The 18,485-nt window shown below is 37.5% G+C and overlaps 1 protein-coding gene and 1 long non-coding RNA gene across 5 annotated transcripts; one reads left to right on the forward strand and one right to left on the reverse strand.

The window, feature by feature from the left end:
- Window positions 1-1,682: 1,682 nt before the first annotated feature.
- NEUROD4 (neuronal differentiation 4) lies at window positions 1,683-11,726 on the forward strand. Its single transcript, NM_021191.3, has 2 exons — window positions 1,683-2,022; window positions 8,140-11,726. The coding sequence occupies exon 2, from the start codon at window positions 8,149-8,151 to the stop codon at window positions 9,142-9,144; it is 996 nt and encodes a 331-aa protein (NP_067014.2). The 5' UTR covers window positions 1,683-2,022; window positions 8,140-8,148; the 3' UTR covers window positions 9,145-11,726.
- On the reverse strand, window positions 5,197-17,465 carry LOC101927484 (uncharacterized). Of its 4 annotated transcripts, XR_245988.3 has the most exons (6): window positions 17,129-17,449; window positions 16,379-16,501; window positions 10,922-11,029; window positions 7,799-7,827; window positions 5,703-5,964; window positions 5,197-5,382 (listed from the first exon to the last, which is right to left on the reverse strand). It is a non-coding gene; the product is annotated as an uncharacterized LOC101927484 (long non-coding RNA). The 4 variants fall into 4 exon arrangements; XR_245987.4 differs by having other exon boundaries at window positions 5,197-5,964; window positions 17,129-17,465; XR_944985.1 differs by having other exon boundaries at window positions 5,197-5,964; window positions 10,922-11,024.
- Between the last annotated feature and the right edge of the window lie 1,020 nt (window positions 17,466-18,485).

The raw sequence follows: 18,485 nt of genomic DNA on the forward strand, positions 1-18,485 counted from the left end.
ATTGAACAATGATTAAGCACCTCTATCCTAGACATAAATTACCTCATAGATAAATTTCCTGTGGCCGAGGAGTGAATTCTGATTTGTTTTTTAGAGATCTGCTATTCCCATCATGTGTTGTTTAATTATTCTGAAAATGAAGTTTATTTTCCTGAGCAGATATTTTTCTGGATAGGGATACAAATAAAGATAAGTAAGAGATTAAAGAGCTGCTGAAAATAAATAACTTCCCATGAAAACTGAAAAAAGTGTTAATTTTTATTTTCTTGTTTTCTGTGAAAAACAAGAGTCATATGACACATATCAGAATTAAAAATAACTATTTTCAAACTTAAGATACTCTTTTCAACTTTATGAGCAGTGAAACTATCTTTTGTTTCAGCCCTCTACAGTTTTCCTTGCACACAGGCATATTAATAGTTTTTCATTTCTGTTTGACGCATGTGCTAGTTATGTTGTTAGACCACGCGATTCTCAAAAAGCTGGGGATACTCTGGTTTCTTTTCAGATTGTATAAATGTTTTGCCTTTTGCCAAAACGCCTGAGGAATTATCCTTCAAGTCAATTTCTAAAAGAAGTTGAACTTGGATTCGTAACTCTATCAGGCTACTGATGGAAAAACTCATTTTACAGATATGAAAACTGATGCCCAGAGTGAAGTTGACTTATTCAAGATCATTCAGCCAATTGCTTAATCTGAGCACCTTTCTTTTTCCTTCTTGGAAACACAAGATGATTAGAAAATCTTTGGTATCTTAAGTTCACAATCATTTATTTTTCCTTGGTGTAGTTTTAAATAAGATAGTATGAATATCTATATACTTAAATTATTCCAGATGTAGTTTTCTTTCTGTCTTCTAGCAATTTAATTCAACCTCCTAATACCAAAGGAGTTTTAGGAATTATTATGAGCCTTCTCTTCTTCTAAGCTTATTACTACTCAGGTGGACTTTTTCTACGTGAATGCTTAATGATGTATTTTTGAAAAACAATAGTAGATCTCAGTTTGTAACTCAAGGAACTAACTGCCCTTAAAATGAAGGATTTTATTAATTTCCTTTTTGTTTTTATAAATTTAAAGTGATCAGAAAGTTGAAAGAATAGCACAACAAATATAGCTTCACCTAAATTCACAAATTAAAAGTTTTAATGAGAGTAGCTTTGACGTGCTGAAAAGGTGGGAGAGACATACTTCTTCCTTCTACTTTTAGAACGCTGAAGTTTATAAGCCAAAGACCCCAGTCCACATGTGTAAGGAAGCAGCCACTGATGCTGTGTCCTTGACACGCATCTTTCTCACCTTTTGATTCTTTTCAGACGTGGGTCAGCAGCGTCATCTGCCCTTTTTAGCTCTCTCTCCAAGTCTATCCCCAATTTTCTTTCTCCATTCTGTCCACACTACTCCGCTCCCATTTCTTATCTTTTTAATCACAAAGGTTTCCAGTCCTCTTTTTCTTTACTCCTTAACTTCAGCAACTCTCCTCCCCTGCTCCCCTTCCACCAACCCCCATCTCTATTTAAACAAACAAACGGGCGGCAAAACTGGACCTGGCCGGAGGAGCCTTTCAAGTGGGCGTGTCTTTCGGCTGGGGAAAAGGGAGGAGTTAGACTCTGGGCAACATCACTCCTCCCTGGTCAGCTGGGAGAGCAATCAAAACTGCAGCAAGTCAGAGGCTCCGGCCAGAGAGCAGGAGCTGCCCAGAGGCTTGTGGTCCTGAAAGCTCCTCTCCGGGGAGCTAACCAGGGAGAGGAGGTACTGAAGAGCGACTAAACTGGCTGCAGCGGAGAGATCAGCCCGAAGGCGTCCTTGAGGAGCATACGGAACTCCAAGGAAGGAGTAGAATAAGGAGCAGGCAGAGAAACCAGACCCGGTGGAATCTCTAAGAGGTAACAACCGGGTTTGACATGGATCGCTGAAAGCGTCTCTTCTACCATCTGGATGGTCAGGGAGACTTGGCTTCTCTGACTGTCCTCTAAGACGCAGATTCACAGAGTTCACTCCAGGAACGGCCAGTGACCGAGGTGAGCCAGTGGTTGGGGTGGTAAGGGGGCTAAAGTTTCTGTGGGAAGTTCCCACTCACCTAGAGGAGCAGTTGGGGTGAGGAAAGTCTCTTCTGGGTAAGGCAGGAGGAAGTGAGATTTAGGAAACTTGGAATGTAGAAGCTAGTGAGTTGGAACACTTAGGGACAAATATAAACATTTTAAATAATTTTATTAAATTTTATAGCACTTGCCACCCAAAGTGAAACACATAGACACTCACAATCATTTTAATAAAGTGAAGAATACAGATGATCTCCCCCAATTCCTGTCAAAGCCACTCTTTCATTTTGTTAGTGGTGAAAATGTCGAAAAGTTTAACTGCTTTTCCAAGGTGGCCCAGCAAGTAGGTTGGAAGAATTGACCCAATCCACCACTCTGCTCACAGCATTTTAGGGCTATGCAAGGACGGAGGGGGAGGCAGGGAAAGGAAAACAGAATGAGGAATCAGAGAAGATTGTGGAAAATCCTCGGGGTAGATTCTCACCATTAACTATTTTGTTTACTAAAAATGCTTGAATAGTTGGCACAGGGTGGGGGAAATTTCCTTTTCCTCAGCTCTTTCAGATGGGAAATTAGAAGAAAAAGATTGTCCAAGTATATTTTTCCTTTCTCTGCTTCACACTCATCATTTGCCCGCAAAAAAAGTATACTCAGAAAATACTAATTAAATGTAAAATACCCACCCCCATTTTTTTGACAGAGGAAGCAGAGGTGAAATGCTGAAGAACATGCAGGGAAAAATAAGGGACTGAATAACTTCTGTTAACTATTAAGATCTGAGGCAATGGCACCTGAAGTATTACATGGCTTTGCTGGACAAAATGTGTGTGTATGTGCATGCATGTACATACATGTGCACATATATTAATAAAGGGGAAAATAGTAGAGTAGAAAAGAAGAGCATAGAGCAAACTACTGGCTTTTTCCAAGCAGTACAACTTGTGAACATCCTGATTTGGATTCTGTCTTTTTAGTGCCAAGACTGTGCAACTCTGGGAAAAGAATTTAGTCTATTTAGTTCTTAGATTTCCTAGAAACTGGGCTGGACAGCCCCCTTTCTGTTGTATTTAGTCATCGGATCAGGAGGTAAAGAGATTATCACCAGCTTTTAAGAGGAAAGACACCATCTAACTACCACAAATCCACATGTGAGTTCCCCTTACCTATTAATTAGTTGAAATATCTCCACAATAAATAAAAAATTTGTAAAAGTGTAGAAAGAATTCCAGGATAGCTTCACATAGTAGTAATGCTTAACGACTTTGGCCCTAGTAGTAAAAATATTCAGTAGTAACAATCATTGCCTAAGCAAACACTTTGCTAGAACAGATTTAAAATTTTTAAAAATATGAGAAATATTTTGAATTAAAGAGAATTGGCCAAACTTGAAATTTCACTGAAAGACCCTATAGAACGAGGAAAATTCTGTTATATTGTGTAGGTATAAAAGAAAATCCAAATACCAAATGGCTAAAAATGGACTTTATAAGACCAGAATGTGTTTATGTGTATGTGTAGGGAAGGGCCAGATTCTGCCCCTTGAGCCAGTATTCATTGATTTTTGTCATGTTCGAGCCTATTTCCTATGTAATTTGTGAGCTAATTTCTTTCCTAGGAATTGAGGCAACCTTAAGATGGTATATCATGATGCTTTGTGAGATAGTGCTACAGACTTTCTCAAACAGCTTCTGTAAAACAATTGCCAACCCTCACATTGGCATAACAATTTTACAAAGTACTTGTGCTTGCATTATCTCCTTATTTTTCATGAAAACTTCTAAATGATGTAGCAAAGACAATCTTATTTTCATTTTGCCCTAAGGGTACAAAAATTACAATAATTACAATAATTTTTCTGTGCTCCTTTAATGAGTGAATGATGAAACAGTCTTGGTTCCATGCTTCTTTCAGTACACCTGTGAGATGGTTCCTTAACAGGCTGAAAGCAACATTAGATTTAGGCACCTGTTCTGGAGACAACCCTTGGTTTCTTTGATCACAACTTTTGTTGTGATCAGTATGTGTGATCACAGTACACATATTTTCAACACTCAAATTTAAAACTAGATGTTTCTATTTTTTTCCTGTTAACCTTTTTGATGCATTGAAAATATTTAGGTGAAAAAAGTCAGATAAACATTTTTCTTTATATTTCAGGAGTCTTGGCTTTCACTGCTTTCACTTCTCTCTGATAGACACTGCATATTATCCTCAGAGCTCTGCCATTTGGTTTTGGTGGGAAAAATTGTATTCGCAATACAGAAGGTTCATGAATCTGAAAATGTATGTGATTGAATAGGAGTGTCAAGCTAACTGTTTTCTCCCAATTATAAAACAGAGTGAAAGTTTGGGAGCTAACTTCCATCTTGAATATGATGGAAGAGTTCTAGTCAACTCAGTGGAGGCAGTTGATAGGGCTTGGTTTCCTTACCTCTTGCTACAGAACAGAAACTTTGATTTCAGTTTCAATAGGAGACTGGAGGAGTAGGTGTATTGGGGAATTTTTTCAAATAGATGTTGAAATGAAGCCATTGGCTTTTGTTGATGCAAAATCAATATTAATAACAGATTCTAATTATACCTATTCTTGTCCAAGTGGCCAGAAAAATTCATGGTGATGTTTAGGAGAACAATACCTAAAACTTAACATGAAATTCATGTTGTATGACACTATTCAAAATGCTTCAAATATATCAACTCATTTTATGCTCCTAATAATCCTATGAGGTAGGACTGTTATTATTCTCATTTTAAGGAGAAGGAGACTGAGGCAGATAAGGGTTATGAAACTGGCCTAAATTCATGTATCTAGTGAGTAGTGGAGCTGAAGTTTGAATCCAGGTAATCTGACACTGGAGTCTGTGCTATCTATCCCACCATGGGAAAAATGATAGGCTACTGAGTAACTGTCAGATGATTTTCTAAACCAATCAGAGGTAATATCCAGATAATAAGAGACACACTAGTTGATACAGTCTGTTTTATTATTCATCTGTGAGAAATAATTTTTATTTTTGAATAAGCAAACGTGTGTGAATAGATTAGATAAGAAAACCCAAGAATAAACAGGAAATAAATGTATAGATGTTTTATAGCATTTACAGCTATAAAATTTTTTATTATATTTTTCTCTTACAAGAATCACATAACCTGTATGTTAGCCTTATTTTATTAGAGGAAATGGAAGAACAGATAACTTTATATAATGTGTTTGGGATCAACAACCCAGGAATTAGAAGAATTGGGACTAGAGTTCACATTTGTGTTATTCTAGCTTCCATTCTTTTGAAACCATACTATATACTCATGGGATTCTCTTGGAAGTTAATGGACCGGCACCTGTGAGAACAGAGGAAGTTAAACTGGAGCCATCTGTGTCCTTCCCATGATTAGTAAGAGAACAAAGGTGAAAGAAAACTGGTTGACCTTTTCATTACTTTGGCCAAAGCCAGTTGATTCTTTTCCTTTATACCCACCAACAAGCTGATTTGAAAGCAGCTCCTTGACTCTTACAGAAACCATTAAATATGTTAGAAGTAAAAGATGGTCTATTCTATCCTCCCAATCTCACTTATTTTGATGTGTGTGAATATTGACAGATCTTAAAAAGAGTCCAGAGGTATAGAGGTAGGGATGGTGAAAAAGGCTAAATCCCCCACCTAGGATGGTATTCAGATCCAGGGACAATTCAGGAGACTCTCCTCTCTTGCACCTTCCTTCTTTCCTTCCTTCTCTCCTTTTCATGCATCTCAGTATGAGCCAGTGATCATAATGATAATGAAGATAAGAGAATGAGGATAAGGAGAAAAAGGGGGAGGATGAGGAAGAGATGATGATCTCTTGGATGATGATCACTCCTGTTGACTCATTTCTATTGCTGTACATCTCCTGAAGCCAAAGTGCCTTTCTTTCTTCCTATAGCTGTGATAGAAGAAGAACAAGGAAAATAAAAACATAAAACCTAAGATGTAAAATAAGAAGAATTAATTTTATGTCCCACTCCACCAGAACTATATCTTTGCATTTCCATCACTTAAACTACCTGACCCACAGTGACCTTGAGTATAAAATGAGCATAAAAATTTCTATCTCCCTCAAAGGTTTTCTATAAGAAACATATGAATTAATGGATACAAAAGTGCTCTGTAAACTTTAAAATGCTACACAAATGTTATTATAATTACATGGGGAGCATTAGGTTTCCCAAGCCCACTCCATCCTTTTTGGCCTTAGAGTGCACCTGCCTCTGGAAGAGCTGTGTTACTTTAACAGAAAGTTAATTAGGTTCTTTACCCTCCCTCTGGATATCTGCCTGAGTTAGAAGTGCAGCTCAGCACACAAGCTCTATCATCCATATTAAAAGTGGGATTTTCTGAGTTGGCCTGGGCAGCTAGTTGACCAATAAGTTCCAATGTGTGTTTTCAATAAAGCTGCTTACCCAGGAAGCCTTATTAAGTGAGTAAGTCAAGCTGACATGATTTCCGTGCTGATTAACATGAAACCTAGGCTGCTTTCGCAATGCAGTTACATTAATTATTTATAGGAGGTAAATGAGGTTACAAGGAAAACAAGCTCCAATTACCAGAAACAAATCAAATAATATATCTTTATTTTTAAAAGCTATGTACTAATCCCTGGGTTCATTGATTTGAGGCTCAAGCATCAAAGAACAGAAAACATTTATTACATTCTCCTCTTTCTCATAATAAAAGGTGATAGTGGGTTTAATATTTCAAAGAGTAGCTGGTAAACTGGGATGCCCCAATGGAGCTTATCAGATACTTTTATTTGGTAAACCATATGCCTAAAAATTGCTTAGCAAACTTTAAAACAATTCAAACTCTTCCAGAATTGAATGCAAAATGTTTACTAAATCACTAGTCTCTTCTGGTTTTCAAATAGTGAATTTTGCATACAAAATTCTGATTAAACAGTGTGTTAGTGAATTAAAGTAGTCAGGCTATTCCTGTGTTTGCCTGAAATAGTCCTCACTTGTGTTAGCAGTCACTATGTTCTGTTCCACTAGTTCCACTAGTTCCACTAGTATTTGTTCCAGATTTTTCATTTTAAATAAAGTATTATTATAGTAGTTGTACTAAACCTTGGATGGGTTTGGTAGACCACTGGCTGCACTCCTAGCTGTTGCCATTGTCTTGTCTGACAGTGTGAGATGCATGTGCAAAGAGATCTCACTTTAACATATGGGCAAATTTGAAAGATGAGCAGTGATAACCCTCCTTTCTTTTCATGATCCTTTCAAGATGCCATGTCACTAACACTTCTAACATAACTCACACTAGACAGAACACAAAGTGCTTACTGAAAAACAGAATGCTCCTCTGGTGATAGTGAGAGTAATGTTTGATGGTCACGTGTTGGACCAGCCAGTGAGAGTAATGTTTGATGGTCACATGTTGGACCAGCCAGTTGTGTCATGGACAACTTGAAGGAGATGATTGAGGCCACCAGTTAGCAATACTGGTGAGAAACATCGGGTATTATAGGCTAGATGGATGTGAAATGCTTCTAAATACAGGTTGAGTAGTCTTTTGTAGAACACATACAAAGTAGTCTGAATGATCTTGCTACAGTTTTTTATTTTGTATGGTGTAAATATACAACAGTGTGCTTATTTGACTATTTGATGGGTTTTTTATTTTGTAGTAACAATAATTATTACACACATAGACTTATTTTTAGCATGCTCTTTCACTTTCAGAAATTTCTCTACTTGGACAGTAATTTATATACTCACCTCATTTTTTCCCTTTTATGTTCTGGATTCTGGAAAGAAAGAAAAATATATCTTTGGACTGGTATATCAGTCATTTTTGTATAAAATATTCATGAGATAAAAAATCTAAGAATAAAAACAGGCACTAACACTGCAATGAATAATCAAGTCAATTTTCTTTTTCTATAATATATTTTCTTATACTATGCCATAACTAAAGGAGTATTCTGGGAATTTCTTTCAGTTTTGGACTGGTCATTTAGAATGGAAGACTTGGACAAGATAATTACATATAAAAAACTTTAGTTTCAAATAAAATCAGGTACTCACAGGAATTAACCTTTGATATTTCCCTTTTCCAGAGTCTGGAAATGTCAAAAACTTTTGTAAAATCCAAGGAGATGGGAGAGCTAGTCAACACACCATCCTGGATGGATAAAGGTCTGGGCTCCCAAAATGAGGTGAAGGAGGAAGAGAGCAGACCAGGTACTTATGGGATGCTCAGCAGCTTAACTGAAGAGCATGACAGTATTGAGGAAGAAGAAGAAGAGGAAGAAGATGGGGAGAAACCTAAGAGAAGGGGTCCCAAGAAAAAGAAGATGACCAAAGCTCGCCTTGAGAGATTCAGGGCTCGAAGAGTCAAGGCTAATGCCAGAGAACGGACCCGGATGCATGGCCTGAATGACGCCCTGGATAACCTGAGGCGAGTCATGCCATGCTACTCTAAAACCCAAAAACTTTCCAAGATAGAGACTCTTAGACTGGCCAGGAACTATATTTGGGCTTTATCTGAAGTCCTGGAGACTGGCCAGACACCTGAAGGGAAAGGCTTTGTGGAGATGCTGTGTAAAGGGCTCTCTCAGCCCACAAGCAACCTGGTGGCTGGATGTCTCCAACTGGGCCCTCAGTCTGTCCTCCTGGAGAAGCACGAGGATAAATCTCCTATTTGTGACTCTGCCATCTCTGTCCACAACTTCAACTATCAGTCTCCGGGGCTTCCTAGCCCTCCTTATGGTCATATGGAAACACATCTCCTTCATCTCAAGCCCCAAGTATTCAAGAGTTTGGGAGAATCGTCCTTTGGGAGCCATCTGCCTGACTGCAGTACACCCCCTTATGAGGGCCCACTCACTCCACCCCTGAGCATCAGTGGGAACTTCTCCTTGAAGCAAGATGGGTCTCCTGACCTAGAAAAATCCTACAGCTTCATGCCACATTACCCTTCTTCAAGTCTAAGCTCAGGGCATGTGCATTCAACTCCTTTTCAGGCTGGTACCCCCCGTTATGATGTTCCTATAGACATGTCCTATGATTCCTACCCCCATCATGGTATTGGGACCCAACTCAATACAGTCTTCACTGAGTGAGGCAGTTAAGTTCAATGTTTCAGAGAATGACGTGGAGACATTTTCCATAATTCAAGTGGTTGAGCTAAAGATTCAATGACCTTAAAGGATCCCTATGGATATATATCAAACAATAGTTCAAGTCCATTTAGGCTTTCCTTCACCTATCACCTCTTTTCTCATCACCTTCTCACATTGCATTGATTTCTTTATAGAGTCCTCAAGTGAAAATATTTGATGATTTAACAACCATGTGAAAATAGAACAGAAGACCTGGGCCCTATTCCAGTGGTGCCAAAAACTCATTGCATAATCTGTGCCAATTAATTTTCCATTTCTGGCCTTTGTTTATTTACTAGCAATTGTAAATAAACAAATTGTATTTATATGAGGCAACTATTCTAAGTCCAGATGATTTCTAAAGTCCTTCACAGTTCTGAAATGCTATAACTGTGGTGATCACTCTTGACAATTTCTTGAAACTGAAAGAATAGAGAAATAATAGGAAAGGGATGCTATGCATAGAATGATCAAATTGAATTATCAGAGGGATCACAAGGTACATGTCTCTTGGCTCACAGAATGCAAAGCTTGTTTGGATTTAATGATAGGACCTCTTTGTATCTATTGAAAAATAGCTTCTGGAAGCTAAAAGTCTAACATGGCTGTCACTGTGAAGAACAAAACATGTTCGTTAAGAGACTAACTCTATTTGTTATTAGACTAAAAGTTGAACATATCTTCCTTATGATTTGAAGAACCATAATAGAGAACCATAATAGAGGCCTCATGCCAACTTTATTCTTGATAATATTTCAAAACCATTTTTCTCAGTACTAGAGGTAGGGCAAACAAGTCACTGAAGCCTCAGACTCCTATAACTAATGGGACATAGAGAAGTCTTTTAGACCATGACCTCCATAACCAGAGGGCTCTGGAACTTCTGATGAAGCTCAGGTGCTGCTGTTAGAATCAGCACACAACACAGGTTTATATTAAAGAGCAATAAAATAGCTATTGGCTATAATAACTACTATAGTTCAGGGACTCTCTCCAGCTCACAGTTGCCCATGGGAAAAACCAATGGATTTTTTTTTAAGCAAGATGAATTTCATTTGGTTAAACGTGATTAAAACCATCCACCTCTGTCCACACCAATATATTTTCCAGAAGCACAAGCACCAATCAATTTATTGATCAAGGTTAAATTTTTCCAACATATATGTAGTTCCTTATCTCTCCCCCTACACTAATTGTTACCTCTTCCTCACTTCTAAGATAGAATATGTTATTATATATTGTAAATAACATTTCAGGTGACCAAACTTAAGGATGCAGAAATGAAATCCAAGGTTGGTGAATATTTTTACCAACTATGTCTTCATCACAGGTTTAACCCAATTTGCAGAGTGTTTATTTTTCTTTATGTAACTCCTTTTTCCTTTATATCAATGCTAACTTCATCAAATTTGTATTTTTTTTCAGAAAATGGGACCTGAGAAATTTTCCTATCTTGTTCAATCAGCCAGGACAGTTATTTAAGTCAAACCAGAGCCTGAATGGCTTATTTGATAGTAGATTAGGTCCTGCTCCTGCCAGAAAGGATAAGTTTAACATGCAGGGTACATCAATAGGGCCAATTTAAAAAATGATAACACATATTAGTATGTCATTTTCTATAGCTCAGCTATCCCCTAAAATCTGCCAACTATATGTGTATCTTGTCTGTTTACCTCTCTTATTTATTATCTCCATACAGTATAAGTTATTTTTTTTCCATTTTGCTCTCAGCACTTACCCTGCTGTATTTTGCACCCTTGGTTTGTAAATTCACTTGAAAGTAGCCTTGCAGAGAGATCTTAAGCCCCATCAGTCACCAAAGTGGTTCCCTTCATCACAATCTGCCCTAGAGGAAATAGGCAAGTAAAATGATATATAAAGCCATACTATGTGCTTTCTGAGTATATACTGCACTTACCTTTGTGAGCGGCTGTAGGAGGGTCTATCCTCGAAGCTAGCATTTTCTGGCATTTAAGTTTGTAGATAATCACTGTTGTTTGAGTTATTTATTAGATATTATTTATTTAATTTATTTCTCTCTTCCTTTCACGAAAATTCCTTTAGCCCCATAGATGTGCTTGCAAACCCTTCCTAAAATTTTATTTGGAAAGTAGCTCATAATTTTGCTAAGAACTGCTGAGTTTTGGAGTGAGGGGAAAGGAAAAAATAGAGAATTACCTCTGTGATAATTTTTATAAAAAGCAGCAATAATTCGAATGGCTATGCAAGTTAATGTTTTTAGAGTCTTTTCTTCAGTCTAAAATGAGCCAGAGTTATTCTTTAATAATCTGCTGTTTATGCCTTTGGGGAGTATGGTACCCATGAGCCAAGCCTCCCTGAAATTGTACAGAGGGATTTTATAATTGAATTAAAATTTAGGAATGCAATAGCTTGTAAAGAGCCTGCTCTCCAACATAGGGTGGTCTCATTCTTCTGGAGACTTTTTTAGATAAAGTAAAATAATTGTTTAAATATTTTGTTTAAAATATGACTGTTTTTCCTCCCTTTTTCCTAGCAGAAATAAAGCTGTAAGTCTTATTAGATGTTGTGTTGTGCTGTGTTGTTAGTCTTCAGATCTTTCATTCACTCTCATTTATTCATTTTCTTGGGCTCTATGTCCTACAAGCAGCTAGCTGAGCAAAGACTGGTCTGTCAGGAGGATTTACACATCCCGTAATTCAATTGATCTTGCTAGAATATTCGAAATATGCAGTTAGAAGTCTAGAAGCACTGGTCTCTGCCACTCATATAATCAAGTATAAAATCTACAGTTAAGAAAAAATAATCTTACAGATTACAGGGCTATGGGCAGTCTAAGCAATCAAACCACAGATAAATGGGAAGATGTGCTATTATCCAAAGTAGGTGGGCTGAACAACTTTTCAAAAAAATTATGAAATATGTTTTTTGGCAACTCTTCCTCTTGATTTTTTTCTTTCAGGTTTCTCTAGTTAAAACTTTCCAGGATCCCTTCTTGCATGTGTAAAGTGATGATAATAAAGAAATAATAGTAATGATATTATTAATAATAAATATAAATAGAAAAGTTAGTTAATCAAGGTAGGGACTTGACTTAAAATATTTAAGAAACAAAAATATAGCATAAAACTTATCTTTCCACCCCTATCTTCCATCTTCCAGTTCCCACTCTCCAACTAGAAAATACTTAAACATTTTTTTTAGCTTACTAGTTATCAGAGACCTTTTATGGATATATAAACAAATATTAGGTACAAATATTAAGGTGTATTATTCTCTTTTTTCCTTCAAGTGGTAACAATATAACACATTTCTGCATATTGTTTTTTTACATTTAACCACAAATCTTGGGGTATTTTAAATAAAAGTTTCTTAATTCTTTGTTATAACTGGCTAGCATTCCATACTAAAATAACATCATTTATGAAATTGAGTCCCATAATTTAGATTTTTTTCCATCTCTTGCAATATCAAATAAATGATTATGTACACATGTCATTTGACACATTAGAAGAATCTTTACCTTGCAAAGAATGGTCCAGAGGGGCAAATAGAAACGGACAGATAACAACAACCCCATCTAGCAGATTGTGGATGCTTACTACGTAATGTTACATTTCTAAGTGTCTTACACGTATGAATTCATTCAATTCTAAAGCCACTCCCATAAGGCGGTCAATATTAGTATTCCCATTTCACAGATTAGGAAACTAATCCGTTTAGTTTAGTGAAACTAAACAAATCCTGGTGGAACCAGGATTGATTTGAGCTAGTGGGTTTATCCAGAAGATTTGAAATGATCCTCAGTAGCTGTTTGCCTGGTAGGTATATGAGGATGTCATATCTGTGCAATGCTGGAGCCAGCGAAAGTGGAATTACTATTTGACACCCCTCAAATTGTCCTTTACATATGACGCCCTGTTACATCTATGACCCAGGCTGACCCACGTCCACATTCTGCAACAGAATCTGAAAGAAGGCCATCTTTCCCTTGATAGAAGCTCAATTTTCTATTCGACTTTGCCCAGGTAGACCACATAGTGTAGGCCAGATCACAAACCAATGCCTTGTTGCTTGAAAGTACCCATTTTTGAGAAGGCTTAAATCCATTTCAAGCTTTAATCTCACATATCTTTAGAATTTAAGAAAAATGTTTTAAAGGGGAATTATGGATATGAAAATAACAAAATATTCTATCAACATAGAAACATCCTATCTTCAAGATTATTTTAAAAATCTATATAAATTTGGAGTATAGTTTGGTGTAGTAATTGCAAGCACTGGCTTTAGAATGAAATAAATAGTACTTAAGCTATGCCACTTACTGATTGAATGACCTTTGTTAAATTGATTAACCCTGCAAAGGCTCAGTTTTCTTGATTTTTTTAAGTTTTTATAAACAAAAAATAGTTTTATAGGTGCTAACATTTTTTCTACATTTCCCCCCTTTGGCTTTTTTATTAATTGACACATAATAATTGTGCATATTTATGCAGTATAACGTGATTTTTGGTACATGCACACAATGTGTAATGATCAATTTGAAAATAGCAATCATAATAATGCCTTCCCTTCAGGTTTATCATGGTGAATTAATTGAGATAATACATCTGAAGCACATAGCAAGTATTTAGCAAATGGTAATTATTACCATCTATGTTCTATTAATTATTCTTTGATTACAATCATGTTACCTTTTCTATTTGCCTCCAATATATGGCCAGGAGAGTGCTGATGGTGACAACAGCAGGCTTAGGGAGTCCATAGAATTATGGAGTCAGATAGACTTAGATTTGAAGTTAACTGGCTGAGAAGTCCTAGGCAATTTATTTAACGTCTCTGTCTCAGTTTTCTTCTTTATAAAAAGGGCATACAATACCACCAATCCATAGAGTTGTATGAGGATTAAAAATGATGATAATAGCAGTGAAGTGTTTATCTGAGGTTCTGGAACCTGGGAAGCACTTTACTCTTATTGTTATTATTATTACTGGGAGTAGAGTGAGAATAGGTGAGGTAATTGAGAACCAGAGAAAACAATAGATTCTTTTCATTTAAACAGTACATAATTTACTGGAGCCAACGACAAAATCCAAGCCTATTGACCAGTATTCCATACATTGGACATGACATTTTCCAACTCTTCATGGGGATAGTTCACACAGAAATCTTCAAAGGCAAACTTTCTGAATTCAGAATATAGGAAATATTGAATTTTTCTTTCTTTTCTAAAAGTTGGCATAGAGCTAAAAGGAGCCTTGTAGTAGCTCTTTGCTGTCATCTGGCTTAAGACTATGTAGAGAAAGAATACTATTACCTCACAAATATATGTTACTATGTACTTGATTTCAATTTAATTTTTTCAAGTAGTAATAGTTACTGAGAATTTCCTCTAGGCCAGGAACTAAGCCACTCTGTCATAGCTAAGGAACTCTGTCATAGCTGTCAGAATACACATGATAATAAAGATGTTTGGTCAACGCCTTACATGTAAGTAAGTGAATTCAGTTATTAAATGTGAACAGGAAGATTTTAGAAACCAATAGCTAAAAACTCAGGGGAAAAGGAAATTTCTGTTTATTGAGTATCTTTACCATGTACAAGTCATCAAGTTAAGTTCTCCATATTGAATCAGTCTTCAAAATAAACCACTGAAGTAGGTTCCAGATGTAGAAACCTACATAGAAATGTGCAAATAAATACGAGAACATGGAAAGTCATGTAAATCTCAGAAGTGCCTGAGCTTCTATTTTCTCATCTATAGAGTGAGATGATTGTGCCATTAGACATCCGAAATTTCTCTCATCTTAATATTTTAACAGTTCCATGAGCAGCTAATGTCCATTTTCTCTCTGGCAGAGAAGCACATGCCCACACTCTTGGAAAAAAAAGAGTGAATAAGTGATTGAGTAAAAGCTAAAAGATGAGGCAAAAATCGACTACAAAACATTAAAATCAAGGTGGTGTTTGGATGCCTTGTGTGGTTTGCTTGCTGGTCAGCTATCTTAAGGAACTGGGGTACTTTCAGTTTATCTATTTAGAAGACAGTTTTCTAGGCAATGATCTTATTCTCAAGAGACAACTACTCTAACATGTTTAGCAATTAAAAGGCCTAAATCTACGTTGAGCTAAAATAATTTTACTGTAAATCAAATTGAGGAATTATGCTATTCCTAGAATTGTACAATTGCCCCTTTTCCTTCCTCAGTTGGAAATAATAGGAAGATGTTGACTATATTGTTTACTTGATTACAAATACAGTAAGTTCTCAGTTATCCATATGAATAATCTCTGTTGAGGATTATGGAAAGAAAATATTGTATATAAGGCTTGTTTCTCCATGTCAGCTGACATGTTTCTAATTTTTGTTTTTCTTTGTGTGTGTAGACACACATATTAATATATGCATATTTGAAAAAAATATATGAAGGTACATAGATGTATGTTTATCTATATATCCATAAATATATATATATCCATAAATATATATATTTGAAGACATGTATATTTAAACACATACACTTCAGTACATGTTGAATACATACACATATGTGTGTATATATATAATTTGACATATGTATTTGAATGCACTCTAAAGTCAAACGGAAACACTTTTTGTATCATTTAATTATTGGCAACTCTACAGGCTGAGTTCTTTCTTTTATTAACTCAGTGTTAAGAACTAAGCTAGAAGGTTAGGCACTGAGAAAGGAGGTGGAGGCAGAGAAACAGGAAGGAAGCATGCTGGGGGTCTAGTTTCTTCAATTGGGATAGACCTGAAGGGGCATCCTGGTAATGGAAAACGTTCTTCCTTGATCTAAGCCTGTGCGCTCTCTTCCTTTGAGAGCTGGCCTCTGAGCTGAGGCAGATCCAAAGCAGGCAGGCACGTGGCTGGCCCACTGAGGGCCGGGAACAGCCGCAAGCTGCTCAGGGAGTTGGAGCAGACTATCCCCTGGCTCCTGCTCAGCCCACTGCTGCCAGCCGGCAGCTTCCCTCCTGCCAGACCCCTGGGCATGCTGATGGGAATGGCACAATTACTTAATCCCTGCCCAGGGAGATCTAGGACACATGCAGACAGATGGAGGACCAGGGGGATTCAGAACTATTTAGTACTGGAGGAGCAAAGGAGACAGGCCTAGGAGCAATAGGCCAGGCTTGAAAGGCAGTCCTGAAACCTCTTCTCTCCAAGCAGCTCCAAGGCAAGCTGTTTTCTCACCTGAACAGAAGCTCTGGAAGAAAGGACCTAGACCTTCCCTTAGCTGCTGGCAAACAACCTGAGAGGGAGCATTGACCCACAGTGTCTGGGTTTCCACAAACAATAGACGGTCACGGACAGGTGCTGAGGAAAGAAGAATTGAGGAGAGTCAGAGCTCCAGAAAGGCCCATATAGAGGGGGCAATACGGAATTAGAGATACAGAGATTAAAATAGCACATGCATGAATTTACCACATGCATGGATTTAAGAATGAAACTGCTATTTCCACATCTGTCTCCTCTACTAGTTTATATCCTTTCGTGTTCCTTAACCCTCACTAATGCATTCTCACACTCACTGCCAACTGCCCTGGTTCAAGTATTCACTATCTATCTGTCTAGATTCATGTAATAGTGTTCTTCCAAACCTCCAATCTTTTTGTACCCAGTACCTCCTTCCTTCTACAATTCATCCTAGCTGTCTTAAAATAAAGCCATGACCATGTCATTTCTTTGGTCAAAAATCTGCGTTAGTTTTCTCATCATTATAGAATGAAGTCCAAACTTCCCAAGTTAATATTTAACCTGCCTCATCACAACTGGTCTTGGTCTACATTTCCAGGTATATGTATACCACACATTCTTCTCTTACGTTCCTCGAAAGCAACCCATCCCACTTATCCACCCCATTTCACCACCTTACATACACTTTTGTGTTGCCCACCTGGATTACTTTTCCTCTAATCAATACGAAGTGAAATTTTCCCTTACCTTTGCTCCTGGCAACACCTTTCCCTGGAGTGCTCTCTCCTCTATCTTCACTTACTGAAACAGTGTCGATCCTTCGGGGCCTAGCAAAAATCTTTCCTGATAAAGCCTTTACAGATTACCCCTGTAAGAATCATTGCCTTCTTCTTTTCTAGTTTAGGGAATTATGACAATTGACTCTAAGAGTGAAGCCGCTATTTCCACATATAGTGAAGCTGCTATTTTTCCTCTACTGGTTTATAAGCTTCTTGAGAGGAGAGGCTGTTTTATCCACTTGTTATATTGACAACTCCCAGTGCAATCGTGTGCACACAGTAAGGAAGAGATAAAGAAAATCTGGGTGGCTGAGCACATAATCACATCATCAGGTGCTAGCATTGTGATGTTACAACATTCTAACAATCTTAAATAACTTTAGGAGAAAGTGTTTTCTTTTCTGCCTTAGAGAAGATCACAAGGAGGTTCAGATAATGTCCAACTCTACTCAACTCATAAAAAGGGAGGGATGGAAATTCTTATCTAGGGTTGTTTCTATGTCAGAGTGACTTTTGCACTAATATATGTGTGAATTAAAAAGAGTAAACATGGCCGGGGGTGGTGGCTCATGCCTGTAATCCCAGCACTTTGGGAGGCCAAGGTGGGTGGATCACCTGAGGTTGAGAGTTCAAGACCAGCCTGACCAACATGGAGAAACCCCGTCTCTATTAAAAACACAAAATTAGCCGGGCATGGTGGCGCATGCCTGTAATCCTAGCTACTCGGGAGGCTGAGGCAGGAGAATCGCTTGAACTGGGTAGGCAGAGGTTGCGGTGAGCTGAGTAGCGCCATTGTACTCCAGCCTGGGCAACAAGAGCGAATCTCCGTCTCAAAAAAAAAAAAGAAAAGAAAAAAAAAGAGTAAACATTTCATGAATTTTGTCTACCCAATGTCCACTAAACTATTGACTATATTAATAAGAATAACTTGGGTTAAAAATTTTTGCTTAGCCAAAGCAAGAGTGGCCAGTTGAAATAATACAGAGTAATATACAGAGACAAAAACTACTAAAGAATCGGAATTTCAGAAATGAAACCAGAGAAACAAAATAAGCCAAGTTAGGGGGAGGGAGAGAGCAGGAAGCCACAAGAGGAAGTTTGAAAGAAAAATAGAATCAAGGCAAGATAAAAGATTGTGGGTGCGAATTCTTCAGTAGGGACATCTCATGCATTTTTAGGTGTTGTCCCAGAGTGCCAAGGGCTTCCATGAAAGTAGCTGGAAGGTGAGGGAATCGCTATCAGGGAATAGGAAGCTGCTGCCTCTGTCTTTCTCTGGTGGGAGCCATGTGTCTTGATTCCTGTTGTACTACAAACCCTGGGCACCA

Source organism: Homo sapiens, chromosome 12 (assembly GCF_000001405.40).
Source record: "Homo sapiens chromosome 12, GRCh38.p14 Primary Assembly".
In the NCBI taxonomy this organism is placed as follows: domain Eukaryota; kingdom Metazoa; phylum Chordata; class Mammalia; order Primates; family Hominidae; genus Homo; species Homo sapiens.